The sequence below is a fragment of the Homo sapiens genome, chromosome 2, assembly GCF_000001405.40.
Source record: "Homo sapiens chromosome 2, GRCh38.p14 Primary Assembly".
Classification (NCBI taxonomy): domain Eukaryota; kingdom Metazoa; phylum Chordata; class Mammalia; order Primates; family Hominidae; genus Homo; species Homo sapiens.
In genome coordinates, this window is record NC_000002.12 from 85,653,800 (window position 1) to 85,672,048 (window position 18,249).

Below are 18,249 nucleotides of genomic sequence, written 5' to 3' on the forward strand. Positions count from 1 at the left end.
GCGCCACCACGTCCGGCTAATTTTGTATTTTTAGTAGAGACGGGGTTTCTCCATGTTGGTCAGGCTGGTCTTGAACTCTAGACCTCAGGTGTTCTGCCCGCCTCGGCCTCCCAAAGTGCTGGGATTACAGGCATGAGCCACCGTGCCCGGCCAATCACCCATATTTTTTGAGTAAATGCTTTAGTACTTAGCCTGTGTTCTCTGTGTTGTCCTTTTGCACAAATGATTTTGTCTCTTTATACCCTTCCAAGATGGTGAAAATAGGAATTATCACTTAAAAGTTTAGGGACTATTTCTTGGAGCTGACCGTCATATCCTGTGTGATCTTGAGGTCCTTTGTGGGTGACACATGGCTTGCTTCCACCACGGCTGTCTGGGTTGGGGGCCTGGCCTGCATGTCTTCAAAGCTGATCCCAGCATGCCCTTCCTCTTTTGGAGACCTCAAGGTCTGGCCAGAGTTTGAACCACACATGGGGAAGAAGTGAAATTCAATTCATGTTTTCTTAGCATGACCCCACAGCCAGAAATCACGAGAAAAAGATAGATGTGGAAAAAATACTCCAGATATATGATAGAGAAAAATTTGCAATGTATAGGACAGTAAATAAATGAATATACCTAGTTTATTTTTACTCGTAAAACAATAAGAAAAAGAAACCTAAACAGAAAATTGGGCAAAAAACCCAAGTAGGCATTTCACAAAAGATGAAATATAAATGGCCAATAAACATGTGAAAAGGTGTTTATTTGGTAACTAAAGAAATGCAAATTAGAACGACCATGAGACATCATTTAAAAATATTTTGGATTAGCAGAAAAAAAAAAAAGGAACCAAACCAAACCAAAACAAAACAAAACAAATATTTTGGATAGGCCAGATGCAGTGGCTCACACCTGTAATCCCAGCACTTTGGGAGGCCAAGACTGGTGGATCATCTGAGGTCAGGAGTTTGAGGCCAGCCTGGACAACATGGTGAAACCCCGTCTCTACTAAAAATGCAAAAATTAGCCAGGCATGGTAGCACGTTCCTGTAATCTCAGCTACTCCGGAGGCTGAGGCAAGAGAATTGCTTGAACCTGGGAGGCAGAGGCTGCAGTGAGCCGAGATTGTGCCACTGCCCTCCAGCCTGTATATATAAATATATATATATATTTTTGGATTAGCAAAGTTTGAAAGATTGTTAATACCCCAGTTTGGTGAGAGTGGAAAGAGGCACTTGTTTTCTTTTGGGATAGAAGTTGGTACGGCTGGCACAGAGGCCCAGATTGATAATCCAGCCTCTGTTAAAAGTAAAGGTGTCCCCCAAATTTCATGTCTTGGAATTGATTCTAAGAAGACAGACAAACAAAGATGTAAGTGCGAGGATTTTTATTTTTTGCAAATCGTTGATAATAGTTGCTTAAAAAAGAAAGGGCCGGCCGTGCGCGGTGGCTCACGCCTGTAATCCCAGCACTTTGGGAGGCTGAGGCGGGTGGATCACGAGTTCAGGAGATCAAGACCATCTTGGCTAACACAGTGAAACCCCGTGTCTAGTAAAAATACAAAAAAAAAAAAAAAAAAAAATTAGCTGGGCGTGGTGGCGGGCTCCTGTAGTCCCAGCTACTCAGGAGGCTGAGGCAGGAGAATGGCATGAACCTGGGATGCGGAGCTTGCAGTGAGCTGAGATCACGCCACTGCAATCCAGCCTGGATGACAGAGTGAGACTCTTGTCTCAAAAAAAAAAAAAAAAAAAAGTAAGGGCCAGCCATGGTATCTGACGCCTGTAGTCCCAGCACTTAGGGAGGCAGAGGCAGGAGGATTGCTTAAACCCCAGAGTGATCGCACCACTGCACTCTAGCCTGGGAGACAGAGCTGTCATGTGGCAATTAGCAATAATAGTAGATACTTACATTTATTGACCTGAAAAGGTTATTGTTAAATGAACAGTGCAGGTTACAAAGCAGCATGTATAGGATGTTTCCATTTTGTAGATCTGCTGTATCTGTTTTTGTATATGTGCACAGAAAGCTTTGGAATTATAGATAATAACATGTTAATAATGATTATGTCGTGGATTTAAAATTTCAGTTATTCATTAGGGGGACATAATGTAATTATCTTTATTTCTCTATAACTGAACTCATTTTGGCTCATGAGCCCTCAAAACATATTATTTCCATTTCGGAGTAACTCATTCCCTTCTTAATACTCAGCCTCTCTTGGCTGACTAACCACTGAATCCTCTTTCCCCTTTCCCTGGGAATGATTTACAGATTGCCCTGCGGTGAGGAGAGGCACTGGGGACTAAGCATTCCCTGGCCATCCAGGTCTCTCTGGAGTGTCTCTCGTCTTGCCTGATCATCATCTTCTTGTGCCATCACTGCTACACATCTGATTTCTGCTCATCTCAAGATCCACTAAATCTGTCACAGATTCATCCCCAACCGTGGGCTCTTACGGGTGCACCATCTTGTCCAGAGCCAATTCTGACTGCCTCTCGGTCTGTGGGTTGAGGTTGCTCTTCTGCAACCACATCACACTGGGAACACTCTGTGAGGCAGACCTCAGGCCAGCTGCCTAGCTCCATCCCTCAGGCTAGCGTCCTCACCCTTTCTGATGTCCTGTGAGAGGCAGGCTTCTCTTAGAAGCCCACACCCTGGAAAGTGAAGAATAAGTCCCCTCCTCTTGGGCTATAATCCCTCCTGGGACTTCTCTTCCCCCAACTTCCTAAGGGCAGAGGTGCAGGATGTTGGACACTTCTCAGGGACCCTAGGAGTCTCAAGTGTAGCCACTTCCTGCCAATTCTGTCCTCCTACCAGCTAGTCAACTCTTTTTTAAAATTATTTATTTATTTGTTTTTGAAATAGGATCTCTCTGTGTCACCCAGGGTGGAGTGCAGTGGCATCATCACGGCTCACTGCAGCCTTGACCTGGATTCAGGCGATCCTCCCACCTCAGCCTCCTGAATAGCTGGGACCACAGACACACACCACCATGGCCAGCTAATGTTTGTATCTTTTTTTTTTTTCTTTTAGACAGAGTTTTGCTCTTGTTGCCCAGGCTGGAGTGCAGTGGCGCAATCCTGGCTCACTGCAGCCTCTGCCTCCTGGGTTCAAGCAATTCTCCTGTCTCAGCCTTCCAAGTAGCTGGGATAACAGGCATGCACTACCACATCCAGCTAATTTTGTATTTTTTTTAGTAGATATGTGGTTTCACCATGTTAGGCTGGTCTGGAACTCCTAACCTCAAGTGATCCACCCACCTCAGCCTCCAAAAGTGCTAGGATTACAGGTGTGAGCCACCATGCCCAGCCAAATTTTTATATTTTTTATAGAGATGGTGTTTTGCCACGTTGCCCAGTCTGGTCTTGAACTCCTGGGCTCAAGTGATTCACTCACCTCAGCCTCCCAAAGTCTGCCAATTCTTGACCTCCTTTTGAATGAAGCCGCCTTTTTCATTATCAGGCACTCATTCCCACTCATATTTTTGGGATAAACTATTAATGCCTCCAGTTCTTCAAACATTGGCTCTTCATTGTCTCAATCAAACTTTTTTGTTTTTATTTTTTTAAATTTAAAACACCCTTTTCTCTCAGAGAGTTGGATTTTGTAATGGAAACAATGGCTTTAAGGACAGTAGTTAGCTATAGATTTACAAATGTCTACTTAAAATCCAGGAGCCAATGAATTGTGTGTCTCATCCCCAGGCCCAAGAGCAGGCTGCATAGACAGCTCTTTCTGGCGCTTGAACGGTGGAGGTGTGGAGCCAGAGGCTGTGGGGAGAAGATGGAAAAAGCCCCAAGCTCAGTGTCAAAACACACACCCTGCCGTAGCTCTCTCCTGGGCTAGGTGGGATTGTGGGTGTCACATGCTTCCCTGTGAAGAGACTACCAAACAGGCTTTGTGTGAACAATAAAGCTTTTTAATCACCTGGGTGCAGGTGGGCTGAGTCCAAAAAGAGTCAGCAAAGGGTGGTGGGATTATCATTAGTTCTTGTAGGTTTGGGATAGGCGGTGGAGTTAGGAGCAATTTTTTGTGGGCAGGGGGTGGATCTTACAAAGCACATTCTCAATGGCGGAGAGAATATTACAAAATACCTTCTTAAGGGTGCGGGGGTGCGGGCGTGGGGTGGGTGGGGAGAATATTACAAAGCACCTTCTCAAGGGTGGGGAAGGTGTATTGTCACAAGGTCAATTGATCAGTTAGGGTGGGGCAGGAACAAATCACAATGGTGGAATGTCATCAGTTAAGGCAGGAACTGGCTATTTTCACTTCTTTTGTGGATCTTCAGTTGCTTCAGGCCATCTGGGTGTATACGTGCAGGGCACAGGGGATATGATGGCTTAGCTTGGGCTCAGAGGCCTGACAGTGGGTAATTTCCACTCTCTTTGTCTGTAGTTTCTGAATTTCTTACAAGAAACATGTATAAGAAATATGACAAAAGTTATTTTATAAATAAAGGGACACTTCCAGGCATTTCAGTCTTTAAGAAAAGCTAAGGCTTGTTTGGCTTTTTGTTTATTTTTAGGTTTTTGGTGTCCTCATGACCTAACCTCATCCCAGTGAGTAGAGACTGGGAGGGGAGAGCAGCAGCTGGAGGGCAGGCTGGGAGCGCTTGTGAGGGAGAGGAGCTATGGACGTCTGCTTCTCTGCCAAGGGAGAGAGTGAGGTAGGCCTGGGCCCGCTGACTTCAGGGTGAGGCCACAGCTACTGCAGCGCTTTTTATTTATTTATTTATTTACTGAGATGGAGTCTTGCTCTGTCACCCAGGCTGGAGTGCAGTGGTGCAATCTCGGCTCACTGCAACCTCTGCCTCCTGGGCTGCAGTGATTCTCCTGCGTTCAAGTAATTCTCCTGCCTCGGCCTTCTGAGTAGTTGGGATTACAGGCATATGCCACCACACTTGGCTAATTTTTTGTATTTTTAGTAGAAATGGGGTTTCACCATGTTGGCGAGGCTGGTCTCGAACTCCTGACCTCAAGGATCCTCCTGCCTCGGCCTCCTAAGGTGCTGGGATTGCAGGTGTGAGCCACCACGTCTGGCCATACTGCAGCACTTTAAAGGACGGTGTCTTTTTCTTTCTCATAAAAGAGAATAGGACTTTATTAGCATTGGTGCAGACATTGTATTACACAGGAATGGGTCCCTAGCTTGCACAACCCCAGCTGAGCTTTCAGCAGATAAATCACAGCAGAAATAGAATCACCCTAGGACTTTCAATCAAAAGCTGGAAGTCCACCTTACAGAAAGACAAAAAGAAACCCCTTTTTATATCTTAACAAAGCAATAGCTCTCAAGCAGCAGAGCATCTCGAGGAAGAAAGCTTGCCCGGTCGCCATCCCATCATGCCAGAGCGTGCAGTGTCCACCCTTGACTACGCTGGGGAATTGCTGATTTTTTGAAAAAGCTTAACTTAACAATTTCTGATGTCTATCTTTTAGAGTTCTGTATGTTCCCATTTTTTATTCTTCTGAATTTTGAATTGCAAGTAGCTGTAAAATCCAATCTTTGAGTGCATGGGGGTGGGTGTGAGGCGGGGCTCAGCTTCAACCCCCTGTCCTGTAAAGCAGTGGCTGGTTTTTCCTGAGCCCAGCCCTGGGAGGTCGTGGTAGGTGTGGAGGCTGCAGAGCTCCTCCAGATGCTGCCCTCGCTGTGCCTCACACCAGAGAGGATGGAAGTGGGCTCTGGTGTCAGACTGTGGTTGAGCTGAGACAGACAAGGCCGACACAGGGCTGGGGGCCCGTGGTCCACCAGTGGAAGTGACTGCCGAGGAAGGGCGGTGAGGAGGGCGGTGTGGGAGCTGAGGCTTCTTTTCAGCCTGGCAGCTGGCGAGGGCCAGGGAGCAGGGGAAGAGCCTGGTCACCATGGTCCCAGAGCCCGTCTCACTTGGCTTTTCCTTTGCAGCTGAGGAGGATGAGGGCCAGAGAGGGACTGTGTGTATGTCCTGCCTGGGGACCCACAGCCAGGTGATAGCAGAGGTGGTTTGAAGCCCAGGCCTCCCACGCCAACCCACTGGTCTTGCTGTTTCAGCAGGGAAGGCCGGGAGCCCTAGGAGCTGGGGAAAGGCGACTGCCCGGGTCCTGGGTGACTCCCCACCCCCAGATCCCCAGCTGTCATCACTGGGGCAAGGACACATTAAACTGGTCCCTGTGGGTCAGGTCTGAGTGGGGGAGGACCTCCCCTCCCCACTGCCTCCCACAGGGGCTTGTGATGCAGGGTTTCAGGAACAGGGCTGGCTTCCCCGCCTCAGATGGAAGAAGTGGACTTGGCTGTGAGCTCCAGGAGGGCAGGGCTCAGCCATAGCCCCTACCCTAGGATGTGGCCTGGCCACAGGCACCCACTACTTTTTTTTTTTTTTTTTTGAGACGGAGTCTCACTCTGTCACCCAGGCTGGAGTGCAGAGGCGCAATCTTGGCTCGCTGCAATCTCCGCCTCCCAGGTTCAAGCAATTCTCCTCCTCAGCCTCCCAAGTAGCTGGGATTACAGGTGTGTGCCACCACATCTGGCTAATTTTTTTTTTTTTTTTTTTTTTTTTTAGTAGATACGGGGTTTCATCATGTTGGTAAGGCTGGTCTTGAACTCCTGACCTCAAGTGATCCACTCGCCTCGGTCTCCCAAAGTGCTGGGATTACAGGTGTGAGCCACTGCGCCCAGCAAAGAAATACCTTTTTTTTTTTTTTTTTTTTCCTGAGACAGAGTTGTGCTCTGTTGCCTAGGCTAGAGTGCAGTGGCACGATCTCGGCACACCGCAACCTTCGCCTCCCAGGTTCAAGTGATTCTCCTGCCTAAGCGTCCTGAGTAGCTGGGATTACAGGCACCTGCCACCATGCTCAGCTAATTTTTAAAAAATATTTTTAGTAGAGACAGGGTTTCGCCATGTTGGCCAGGCTAGTCTCGAACTCCTGACCTCAGGTGATCTGCCTGCCTCGGCCTCCCAAAGTGCTGGGATTACCGGCGTGAGCCACCATGCCTGGCCTTACATTTTTTAAAATGAGGGAACAAATGAATAAATGACCACCATGTTAGGGGCTGGCTCTGAACAGAATTGTAAAGTGGGCCAAGCTTGCTCTCAAGGTCACCTTAAGCCCACGGTTGCTGTGTCCTGCCCTCTCAGGGTCATTTCCCAGCCTCCAGGCACCTGTTCACAGAGGCTGCATCTGGCCTCGCCTCCACCCCTCCATCCTAAGGTGCTCCGCTGACTTAGAACAGGACAGTCAGGGAGAGAATGTGTCTCAGGAGGGTGGAGTCAGATGATCACGGCCTTCCTGGCATCTGAGGGGATACAGCTTCGGGTAGCAAAGTGTGATTTTCCCTGAGCCCCAGGAAAGCTTGGCCTTGGTCAGAATACATTGAACCCTGAGGGCCAGAGAGTCCCTGGGGCAAGCTCTGAGAGGGAGGCCTGGGACAGGGCAGGGCGGGGGGTTGGGGGGGAAGCTGGGGGTTGGGCACTCAGTGACTGGGGTTCTGGGCGGGGCAGTGCTCGGGGTCCGGAAAGGGTGTTTTCCTGATGGCCAGCCAGAAGCCCTCAGGAGCCTCCAGCTGTGCGGTGAGAGGGAGGATGGAGCAGCCGGCAGGAGTGGCCGCCTCTTCCTGCTTGGGGAGCAGAAGGGCCTCCCATGCCCTGATGGTCAGGACCTGCCCCCTTACCTCCCCGCAACTGGGGGCCTGGACTCACCTGGACAGCTGAGTTCTCATCAAAGGTCGGGGCTGTGGATACACTGGAGAGGGCTGGACATGGTCCCACACACCCCGAGGGCCTGTCACAGGGACAGCACCAGGGCTGAGGCCTGGGCCCCCTCAGCTCCCCACACCCAGCTCTTCCGGGAAAGAACAGCACTCACTCCACCTCCCGCCTAGTGGGTGCTACCAGTGTGACTCTGTAGACCCCTCGGGCCACTCCCTGAGCCACAGGCCTTAGGGTTTAGAGCCTGAGGAGGTGAGATGTTCACTCCAGAACACCCACTTTGTACCCCCACCCCACCAGCACACACTGGCCAGGGAACACAGCCCCATCCTATAATGGACATCCAGCCGCACTCCTCAGGCCATCCCTCCCTTCCCATCCCCCTTTTCCATGCTCTCATGATTTTTTACACTGAAACAGAGAGGGGTGCCTCCCAGTCCCTGGCCCGTGCACCTGGGACCACCTTGGACCCAGGGGAGTGAGGCCTCTGAGGATCACGGGCCCAAAGGGTGGGGGCTCTGGGAGCCAAGGGAAGTCCTAGGACCAACTGGGAGGGGTGGGTGTACCTGGCAGGTGGTGTGGGCATCCCAGCCCCTGGGCACCAGGGTCAGCAGCTGGGGCGTGTGCTGCTCCACAAATTGCTTGCACTGAGGAAGGAGACACACAGCTGTGGAGGGTCCCTTTGCAGGACTCTCCTGTCGTGTGGTCCTGGCCTCTCCACATCTCTGGATCACTCTAGGGCTCCCTCCCGACTCCTCCATCAGCCCTCACGGAACACCTCTGGCTGCAGTTGAAACCCTTAACAAACTGGAGCCAGCTGAAATGGAGGACTTCCATCAGAAAAGCAGGCGACACTGGAGACGGAGGACTCAGGCAGAGGGGTGGAATCTCAGCCACCACCCTCCCCTCCCTCCACCTCCATTTCAGTTCTAGAAGGAAACTTAACGTTCATCTGGTCCTTGAGACCAGATGTGATGGGCAGTCGGGAGGCTTGGGAGTTGCTGAGCAGGGAGCACAGTGTGGACAGCTGCCTCCTGGGAAGAGCATCAGCTGGCTTTCCTCAGGACAGGATCTCGCTTTAAGAAGGGAATTTCCTGTCCGGGTGCAGTGGCTTATGCCTGTAATCCCAGCACTTTGGGAGGCCAAGGCGGGCAGATCACTTCAGGTCAGGGGTTCGAGACCAGCCTGACCAATATGGTGAAACCTTGTCTCTACTAAAAATACAAAAATTAGCCGGGCCTGGTAGCACATGCCTGTAATCCCAGCTACTCAAGAGGCTGAGGCAGGAGAATCGCCTGAACCCGGAGGCAGAGGTTGCAGTGAGCCAAGATTGTGCCATTGCACTCCAGCCTGGGCAACAAGAGCAAAACTCCATCTCAAAAAAAAAAAAAAAAAAAAAAAAAAGGGAATTTCCTGTCATTGACTGAGTATTGGCAAGGGCCCTAGGACCTTCAAGTCCAGCCCTCTCCTTTTGCCAATGGGTTTGTCCTGAGTGAGTCACACCTTGAGGAGTGTGGGGGCAGTAAAGGGATCAGGACCCTGGAGAGAAGGCTAGTCCCTTTCCTGGCTTGAACTGGCCCTAGCATTACTCATCTCCTGGTAGATAACCAGGCCTCTGAAGGCTTGCCTGGTGCTCACTCAGCCCGTGAAGAGGGCCTGCTGGTCCTCTGGAGCCCACAGCCCTTTGTCCAGAGGCGACTCCTAACCTTTAGCAGGCTCTGCCCTAACTTACAGTCCCACCATTGTCTGCCCCACATCCTGTCTGCCTGTCTGTGCTCCATTCTGGCCCATCCTAGGTGTCTCTGGCTGCAAAGCCTTTCCTGGGCTCAGCCTTCTGCCTTGAACGGGCCCTGACCATGAGTCCCCATGTGCCCAGCCCATACCTTTTCCCTGTCCAGCCAGGAGCCAACACAGGCCTGGAGCATTGCCTGTGGTATGGCCTGCTCGCTGCTGTTCCCGGCCTGGGTGGTCACGGACATGCAGAGGTGGCACTCAGAGTCTCGCGGCAGCCATTCTCCTGTCGGCGACCCTGGAGATGTGAGCATTAGGGGGAAAGCAGGCAAGGCCACCCTACAGAGGTGTTTGGTTTCTGTCCTCCTTGGTGCATTGCAGTGGGACCACAGAGGGAGAGGGTCATGCAGTGGCAGGGTAGGGGGAGGAGGAGAGCAGGCATTGGGCTAAGGAGTGGGCAGTGGGCTCACTTGGGCCAGCGCTGTCATCCATGGAGCACCGGAGGACGAGGCGGCAGACCAGCTGGGGCAGCATGCGGCCCAGCAGCGTGTCGAGCAGGATGACGGAGTAGCGCTCAGCCAGGCACTGGCAGATGCCGCCCGCCACCAGAGGTACCACGCGGCACACCTGGGCCACTGCCACAGCTAGCGCACCCTGGGGCGGGGGCGGAGAGAGGCCAGCATGGGACCTTCACTTGGCAAGCCTCCACTCTCTGCCCAGCACCCAGCTGGGCACTTCCTACGCATTCCCTCATTCTCTTCTAGAAGGGAGGGCAAGGCTATTCACAAATAAGGACACTGGGGATCAGAGAGTCCAGGGGATGCAGGGGACTCACACAGGGTCACTGAGTGTAGGAGCCAGCTTCAGACCTACGTCTGGCCCCAAAGGCTCTGGCCCACAGCTAGTGACTCTCAGACTGACATGGTGGACCTGACCTTCCCCCAATGCTTGGGATTCAGCTGCTTGCCTGACTCTCCTCTCCTGCACTTCACACAGGCATCTTGAACTCAACATGGCCAGGAGGGAGCTCTCTGTTTTTTTGCTCAAACCTGTTTTCTTCTTTAGTCTCCCCATCTCAGCTGCTGGCATTACAGAGGGCTGGTTGCTCTGGCCAGTGTGTAAAAGTCACTTTGGAGTCCTCCCTGGTCCTCACGCTCCAGGCCCATCCATGCCCAATAGCAGTGGGCCCACCTCCCAAATGCATCCCCAGGCCAGCCCTCAGCTCCGTCCCTGTCCCATCACCTCTCACTGCAATCTCTGCAGTGATCTTTCCTTCTTTCTTTTTTTTTGAGACAGAGTCTTGCTCTGTCACCCAGGCTAGAGTACAGTGGCGTGATGTCGGCTCACTGCAACCTCCGCCTCCTGGGTTCAAGTGATTCTCCTGCCTCAGCCTCCCGAGTAGCTGGGACTACAGGCACCTGTCACATCTGGCTAATTTTTGTATTCTTAGTAGAGACGGGGTTTCGCCATGTTGCCCAAGCTGGTCTTGAACTCCTGGGCTCAAGTGAACCACCTGCCTCAGCAGGAACCTCACCTGCTGCCTTGTGCCCCTGGTGGCCCACGCAACCCTATCTGGGAAAGGCTGAGGGGGCAGGGCCTTTCCTCATTTGGGCCCCAATTTGGGCAAGGTAGCCCTGGGCTGGCGGGGCCATTGGACAATAGCCACTGCAGGTCTGGAAGACTCCAAGTTGGACTCAGGCAAGGATGGGGAATCTATCTGTGGAAATTCCCCTCTTGAAAGATCAAAGCAACCTTTCTACAGAGACCTCTGGGGATCTTTCTCCATCAGATGGTGAGCTGCTGGAGGACAAAGCTGCGTCTTGTCCGTTTTTGTACTTTGGCTCCTGGCGTGGCACCTCCATACAGTGGGGGCTTAATGTTTGTTGCATGAACTGTAGGCCTGGCACCTACCAGGCCTGAGCCTGAGCCCCAGGGTCCCCTGGGTGGGGGCAATGCACAAGCGGCTCTCTCCCCTCCTAACTTCTGGCAGCCAGCTGGGTCCTGACGGGGGTGTGAGTTGGGAGAGAGGTGGGAGCTGCAGGGAGCTACAGGTATGCGTGTGCTCCTGGGCTCTGTGAGGCCCTGGATGCCTCACCTTGGGAATCATGGCTTGGATCCGCTTGATCAGAGCCCTGCAGAGCCAGCAATAGGGGAGAGGAATGGGGAATTGCTGCTCGGAGAGATCCTGGGGAAAGAATCAGGTGGAGGCCAGGCTGGGTGCTGGGAGAAGAGTCCTCCAGGCTCTCCTCCCCTCTCTCTTCCTCCCTTTCTCTCCCTCCTCCCTTAGGCCCTGCCTGGAGCTTCCTATCACCTTCCCGGCTCTGCCTCTCCCAGGGCCCAGTGCCCATGGGCTTCGGAGGTGGCTCTAGCCCTCTGGATCTCCACTTTACTGGCTGTGGGGGCCTCCCTCACCTGTGTGTGAGGCCCAGGCCTCGCCTGGAGGGCCCCGGGCAGCACAGGGAGGACGAGCTTGTCCAGCAGAGGGTCTGGCAGAGGGTCCCGCAGAGGTTTGGGCAGGGGGTCTGACATCCCTGGCTCCTGCTCTGGCTCTGGCTGCCGGGATTTGCACAGGCCCAGGTGCATACAGATGCCGTTTGAGTCCTGGGGCACAGCACAGGGTGGGAGTGTTAGGGTCTGGGAGGGAAGCCCACCCCTATTCAGGCCGGCCCAAGGGCTCAGGGACCACTGGAATGGGAGGAAGCAGGCCTAGTGGGGGTGCTGTGGTTTAGAACTCTATGTGGGGGGACAAAAGGCAAAGATAGGGCTGTGTGGGGACTTTAGGGCAGGTGGCCGGGATTGTGTGTGAATGAGCATGAGCATATATGTGAGAATGAATAAGTGTGTAAGCATGTGTGTGAGAGTGAGGGTGTAAGGGTGTGTGAGCGTACAGGCCCACCGTGTGCACCTGAACCTGGGGGCCCATGGTCGGGTGCATGGCTGAAGGGCACGTAGTTTCCTAGGCCCTTTGTGGACAGGGTGTGTGTGTGTGTGTGTGTGGCCAGCTGGGGTGCTGTGTGTGTGCTGTGTGTGTGTGTGTGTGTGTGTGTGTGTGTGTGTCTGGCTGGCTGGGGTACTGTGTGGGTATGTGTCTGGATGGAGTGCTGTGTGTGTGTGTGTTTCCAGCTGGCTGGGGTACTGTGTGTGTGTATGTGTCTGGATAGGGTGCTGTGTGTGTGTGTGTCCGGCCAGCTGGGGTACTGTGTGTGTGTGTGTCCGGCCAGCTGGGGTGTTGTGTGTGTGTGTGTGTGTGTGTCCGGCTGGCTGGGGTGCTGTGTGTTTGTGTCTGGCCGGCTTGGGTGCTGTGTGTGTGTGTGTGTGTGTGTGTGTGTCTGGCTGGCTGGGGTGCTGTGTGTGTGGCTCCCCATGGGTGGGCACAGGGGCCTGCGTGGGGAGGCAGGCAGGAGGTGAGCTTGCAGCCCTCACAGTCTGGTTCTGGAAGTAGTCGATGACCAGGGGGAAGTAGTCGTCAAGCACTTGGTTGCACTGGGGCATGAGCAGCTTCAAGGGGAGGACGTTGCACTCCTGCTCCAGGAACTTCCTCATCGTGTCCTGGGAGGCCAGAGGGGGCCGTCAGCTGGGCCTCTCTGAGGTCTACCCCGCCCAAGTCCCTGGACACAAGGCCCCACCAGGGCAGACTGACCCCTAATCCCCCAGGGTGCTGGAGTTCACGAGTGCCAAGGAGTTAAGTAGTTGGGCACATGTAGGGGCCCTTCCCCTCAGGGAAGACCATCTCTGGCTGTGCTATTGAGCTCAGGGCCATGACCTGCTCCCAGCCAGGAGGAGCTGGGACTTCCCAGGCACCCAGGCCTCCTCCTCAGCCTGGAAATGGCCCCTTTAGGGGGCTCAGCTCTTCCCTGCTCTGTCCCTCATCTCTTGGGCCCCAACCTTCATCCAGGATCTGGGCATCATTACCTGGAAAATGGCCTCCTTGGCCATCTTGTTAAGGATGTGGACGATGTCCTCACACTCTTGGCATAGGTCATCCTGGGGAGGGAGGGGCCCCAAGGTGGAGGACACATGAGTGGGGGAGGCTCCCAGCTCCAATGGGGAGGTTCTCTTAGGAAGAGGCCAACAGAGCACTCCAAGGCACATGCAGCTGCCCACCAGCCCAACTTGTCCCATCTCATCCATATCAATTTATCCCATCCATCTCTTCTATTCATCCATCCCAATCCATCCATCTTTATTCTGTGTCATCCCATCCCATCCCATCCCATCCCATCCATCTTTATTCTATGTCATCCTATCCTATCCCTTCCCCTCCCATCCATCCCATCCCATCCCATTCATCCGACTCCATCTATTCTATGTCATCGTATCCCATCGCATCCATCCCATTCCATTTTATCCTATCTCATTTCATCTCATCCCATTTCATCTCATCCATCCCCTATGGGGGCTCCACTCTCCTCCTGCCCATCCAGAGCCCACCCAGCACCCTTCATTTCAGACCCCCAGTTGCCATGCATCCTTGGTGGTACTCACGGCTCCCACATGTCCCCAGACTTCCTGTAGGCAATGCCCTAGGGCTCTGCACTGCAATGCTTGCTCCAGGCTTTGGCACCAGAACTCAGGGCCCTGGGCACAGGCCAAGGATGAGGTGGTCCAGGCAGCTGTGGTTTGGGGCCAGAGCAACCTTAATCAGGATCCAGGCTACACACCTGGCATCATGATTTCACCCACCCTCTAGACCCAGTTTTGCTGGGAGTGTGAGGCCATTAAACATGTGGACGTCAGACAGCTCTGGGTTCCACCTGCTCCTGGACCCGCCAGCTGTGTGACCTTGGATAAGCTCTGAACCCTCTCTGAACCCCAGCTGCCTTGTCTTTAAAATGAGGACAGACTTGGGTTAATGCCTAGCACAAAGCAGTGCTCAGTGAGTGGTGGAGCTGCCTAGGAGAGGGGAGGCTGGGGGAGACTCACCAGTGCCTGGGCCACAGAGCGTGGGCAGCAGCAGCAGCAGCCACTGCAGCAGGTGTGACTCAGCCATGGCACCTCTGCAGCCTGGGTACCCTGCTTGGTGCATGGCCCCTTATAGCTGGGCGGGGCGTGGGGGCTCTGTAGGAGTGGCAGCGACCTCAGTGTTTGTCTTTGCTCTGAAGAGCCCTCCAGGTGCTTGATCCCACCTTTTCCCAGCAGGAACACTCCTGCCTGCCTTACCACCTGTCCTGGCTGATGGCCTGTTCCTGCCTCCTTTGCCCCCTGCCCAGACTCCCATGTTCCTGGACTTGTGGCTTCCTCCAACCAGGGGCTCTCAAGCCTCCATACCTGGTCCCACCTCTCCAGGCCGTGGGAGGGAGGTTGAGGAGGGTGGAGGGCATCTGGTTGGGGGCAGCCTGGGTGTTCCCCTCCCATCCCCTCCCTGGGCCTCCCAGGCCCCCTCTACTCTTGAGCAATGCTCTTGAGAGCTTCCTGCCTGGCTCTTAACCCAGGGCAAGCCCTGGAAGGGCAGACCCAGGACACTCTCACCACCTCCTTACCTTTTCCCCTGGAAAAATCTTCTGGTTCTATGGACACATGGTTTGCATTAGTCAGAAGAGCATTTACACAAAACAGAAAACAAAATACCCTGAGTCAGAGACAAGATTTCTGTGGCCCTGGAGTGGCTCCCAGACAGCCCTATACAGGAGGTGCTGCCCATGGCCCCTGGGGACCCCTCCAGGGTAGGGGCTGGGGCATAGCTGCGATGGTTCAGCAGAAAGAAACTGTCCTCTGCAGCTGCAGGGGCTCTCAGGCAGGGCCCCCACTGGCAGAGCACACTGGAGAAAAAGCTCACAGGCTGAGGGAGACAGAGGATATCTTGAGTGGAAGAAAGAGAGCATTAGCACATTGCCACCACCCCAGCCATTGTGATCAATTTATCTGATCTCTGCAGGAGCCCTCTCCCTAGTGGAGGCTCACAGGCCTCTATACTCGGGAAGCACTACAGTGCTTTTGTGGGTGGACGGGCAGGAATTAGTACCATGATGAAAAGAGATGGGGCTGGGTGTGGTGGCTCACTCCTGTAATCCTGGCACTTTGGGAGGCCGAGGAGGGAGGATCCTTTGAGCCCTGGAGTTTGAGACCAGCCTGGCCAATATAGTAAGACTCCATAACTACAAAAAAATTAAAAAATTAACCTTGTGTGGTGGTGCATGTCTCTGGTCCCAGCTACTCAGAAAGCTGGGGCAGGAGGATCGCTTGAGCCCACCAGGTCGCGGCTGCAGTGAGCCATGATTGCACCGCTGCACTCTGGAATGGGAGTGTGAGGCCATTAAACATGTGGCCATTAAACATGTGACTGAGCTGAGGGTGTCCTGGCTCCTGGTCCCTGGGATGGGCAGTCTCCTGACACCATGTTGGCCAGGTAACACTCTGTCTCAAAAAAAAAAAAAAAAAAAGAATTAGATACAAGGTGGCTAATGCCACACTCAAGGTTACCCAAGGATTTATGTAGTTTCTGTTGGCCTCAAGTCCTTGTCAGTACAACAAACACAGCTGCCATCATGGGAGTCCACCAAGACTGTGTAAAAATGAGTAACCAAAGACTGGGAACTGAGTGACCTTGGTAGAACCTCAGGAAGGTGGAACTGAAACGTGCTTGTTATTCAGTATGTATTAAACAAATCAGCGAGTGGTATCTCGTTTGAATACAATCAGGACAGGCTGCGCAAGAGAGTGGGGATTTGTGGCTGGCTGCCTCCAGGGGCGTATTGGTCAGGGTGGTCCCACTACCATAACAGAGAGCCCTCCAGTCTATGGGCTTCATGCAAGTTTCTTTTTCTTTTTTTTTTTGTTTTTTGACATGGGGTCTCACTCTGGCGCTCAGGCTGGAGTGCAGTGGCGTGATCTTGGCTCACTGCAACCTCTGTCTCCCAGGCTCAAGTGATCCTCCCACCTAAGTCTCCAGAGTAGCTCGGACCACAGGCATACGCCACCACGTCTGGCTAATTTTTTTCTATGATATTTTTGGTAGAGACAGGGTTTTGCCATATTGCCCAGGCTCGTTTCGAACTCCTGAGCTCAGGTGATCCACCCACCTCAGCCTCCCAAAGTGCTGGGATTACAGGCATAAGCCACTGTGCCTAGCCACATGTTTCCTTCTTTTTTTTTTTGAGATGGAGTCTCACTCTGTTGCCCAGGCTGGAGTGCAGTGGTACGATCTTGGCTCACTGCAACCTCTGCCTCCCGGGTTCAAGCGATTCTCCTGCCTCAGCCTCCTGAATAGCTGGGGAGTACAGGCACCCGTGATCACGCCCAGCTAATTTTTGTATTTTTTTAGTAGAGATGGGGTTTCACCATGTTGACCAGGTTGGTTTCGAACTCCTGATCTCAGGTGATCCGCCTGCCTTGGCCTCCCAAAGTGCTGGGATTATAGGTGTGAGCCACCGCGCCTGGCCCACATGTTTCCTTCTTACTCGGTTACAGTGCAGCACAGGTTGGCTCCGGGTGGTGAGACTCAGGTCCGTACCGTCATTCAGGTGCTCGGAGTCCCCCTTCTGCTTGCTTGGAGGGCTCAGAGTCCTCCCCTGGGTCCCCTGCATCTGGCCAACAGGGAGAAGAGAGAAAGAGTGGAAGATGGTGGAGGAGGTTTTAGGGACGAGGCCTGGGAGTGGTGTCCGTCATTTCTTCCCTCTCAGTTCAGTCTCACACCCTCACTAACCCCAGGGAAAGCTGGGAAGTGCAATGCGCCTGCATGCCCAGGAGGGAAGGGAGATGGAGTTGGTGGACACATAGCATTGTCTAAAAGCCATAATGCTGAATGCAAAACCAGGTGCTTATGTGGGGTTTTCTAGGTAGTGGGTCCGTGGCTTTTATCAGAACCTCAAAGAGGGATTGGTATCTGACTGTCGAGAGCTGCCATCCAAGAGCACCAATAAAGGAGACACAAAAAGCCAGCTGTTGACTGAGCTGAGGGTGTCCTGGCTCCTGGTCCCTGGGATGGGCAGTCTCCTGGCACCCCTTGCTTTGATGCCATCCTCACCACAGTCTCTGATGAAAATCGGGCTTCCTGTGAAGCGTGGCTGCAGGGGGAACCTGCATGGATCTGCCTCTACTGACGGTTCTTCTCCTGGCCTACCTGCTTCTCACTGGAAATGAATAAAGAAACATTCTGGGAAAAAAAAAAAAAAAAAAAGAACATTCTGATAGCTACTCTGGGGATGGAGAACTTGATTAACTCAAGTTTATTCACAGGAGATGCCTCTTCTCTTGGTGTGTGGACAAACTCATGTTTCTGAGAGCCAGTTCCTTGTCATCAAAATATAGAAGACACATGTCCCGCCTAGCATTGTGTCCATGGGTCTACACCACACAGGTCTGCCCCTGCCTGCCCCAGTAATACTGTCTAGAAAGCCACGCACCACATCCCTGGAAAGGGAAGCCTCATGGACCACCTCCCTTCATCCCCCTGGCCAGAGCCGACTGGACCAGAGGTAGACACACCAGACCCCAAAAGAGTCCATCTGCATGCTTGGCTGAACCAATTGGATTTTTAAATTGGGAGATGAGAGCCAAGTCAGCTGATTGTGGGGTGAAGGATCAAAGTCAAGTTAATGGTGCATTGCCAAGGGGGTCCTTGGCCACTTAATGCAAAATGGAGCAAATCAAAACCATACCTCACACCCTCTAGGACGGCTATTATGAAAAACCAGAAAATAATACATGTTGAGAGGATGTGGAGAAATTGGAACCCTAGGTGCTTTGCTGCCGAGAATGTGAAATGGTGCAGTCACTGTGGAAACCTGTGTGGAAAATAGTTTTTACAAAACAGTTTCTGAAAAGTTTGAATATTGAATTACTTTCAGACCCAGCAATTCCACTCCTACGTACGTATTCAAGAGAATGGAAAACAGGTACCGGAACAGATATTTGTA

The 18,249-nt window shown here is 52.9% G+C and overlaps 1 protein-coding gene across 7 annotated transcripts, besides 2 other annotated features; it reads right to left on the reverse strand.

The window, feature by feature from the left end:
- On the reverse strand, positions 3,508 to 14,942 carry SFTPB (surfactant protein B). 7 transcript variants are annotated; one of them, NM_198843.3, is made up of 12 exons: positions 14,875 to 14,942; positions 14,318 to 14,452; positions 13,880 to 14,007; positions 13,307 to 13,378; positions 12,818 to 12,943; positions 11,807 to 11,995; positions 11,490 to 11,579; positions 9,865 to 10,048; positions 9,547 to 9,692; positions 8,230 to 8,310; positions 7,655 to 7,736; positions 3,508 to 5,056 (listed from the first exon to the last, which is right to left on the reverse strand). In NM_198843.3, the coding sequence occupies exons 2-11, from the start codon at positions 14,382 to 14,384 to the stop codon at positions 7,674 to 7,676; spliced, it is 1,146 nt and encodes a 381-aa protein (NP_942140.3). In that variant the 5' UTR covers positions 14,385 to 14,452; positions 14,875 to 14,942; the 3' UTR covers positions 3,508 to 5,056; positions 7,655 to 7,673. The 7 variants fall into 7 exon arrangements, with proteins under 7 accessions (NP_942140.3, NP_001354210.1, NP_000533.4 ...); XM_047445414.1 differs by having other exon boundaries at positions 4,924 to 5,883; NM_000542.5 differs by lacking the exon at positions 14,875 to 14,942 and having other exon boundaries at positions 3,515 to 5,883; positions 14,318 to 14,400.
- Positions 15,980 to 16,129: an enhancer, noted in NCBI's record as "active region_16137". NCBI's record gives its function as "activates an Ori minimal core promoter by ATAC-STARR-seq in GM12878 lymphoblastoid cells {active_cell/tissue: GM12878}" and the evidence as "EXISTENCE:reporter gene assay evidence [ECO:0000049][PMID:35858748]".
- Positions 16,200 to 16,249: an enhancer, noted in NCBI's record as "active region_16138". NCBI's record gives its function as "activates an Ori minimal core promoter by ATAC-STARR-seq in GM12878 lymphoblastoid cells {active_cell/tissue: GM12878}" and the evidence as "EXISTENCE:reporter gene assay evidence [ECO:0000049][PMID:35858748]".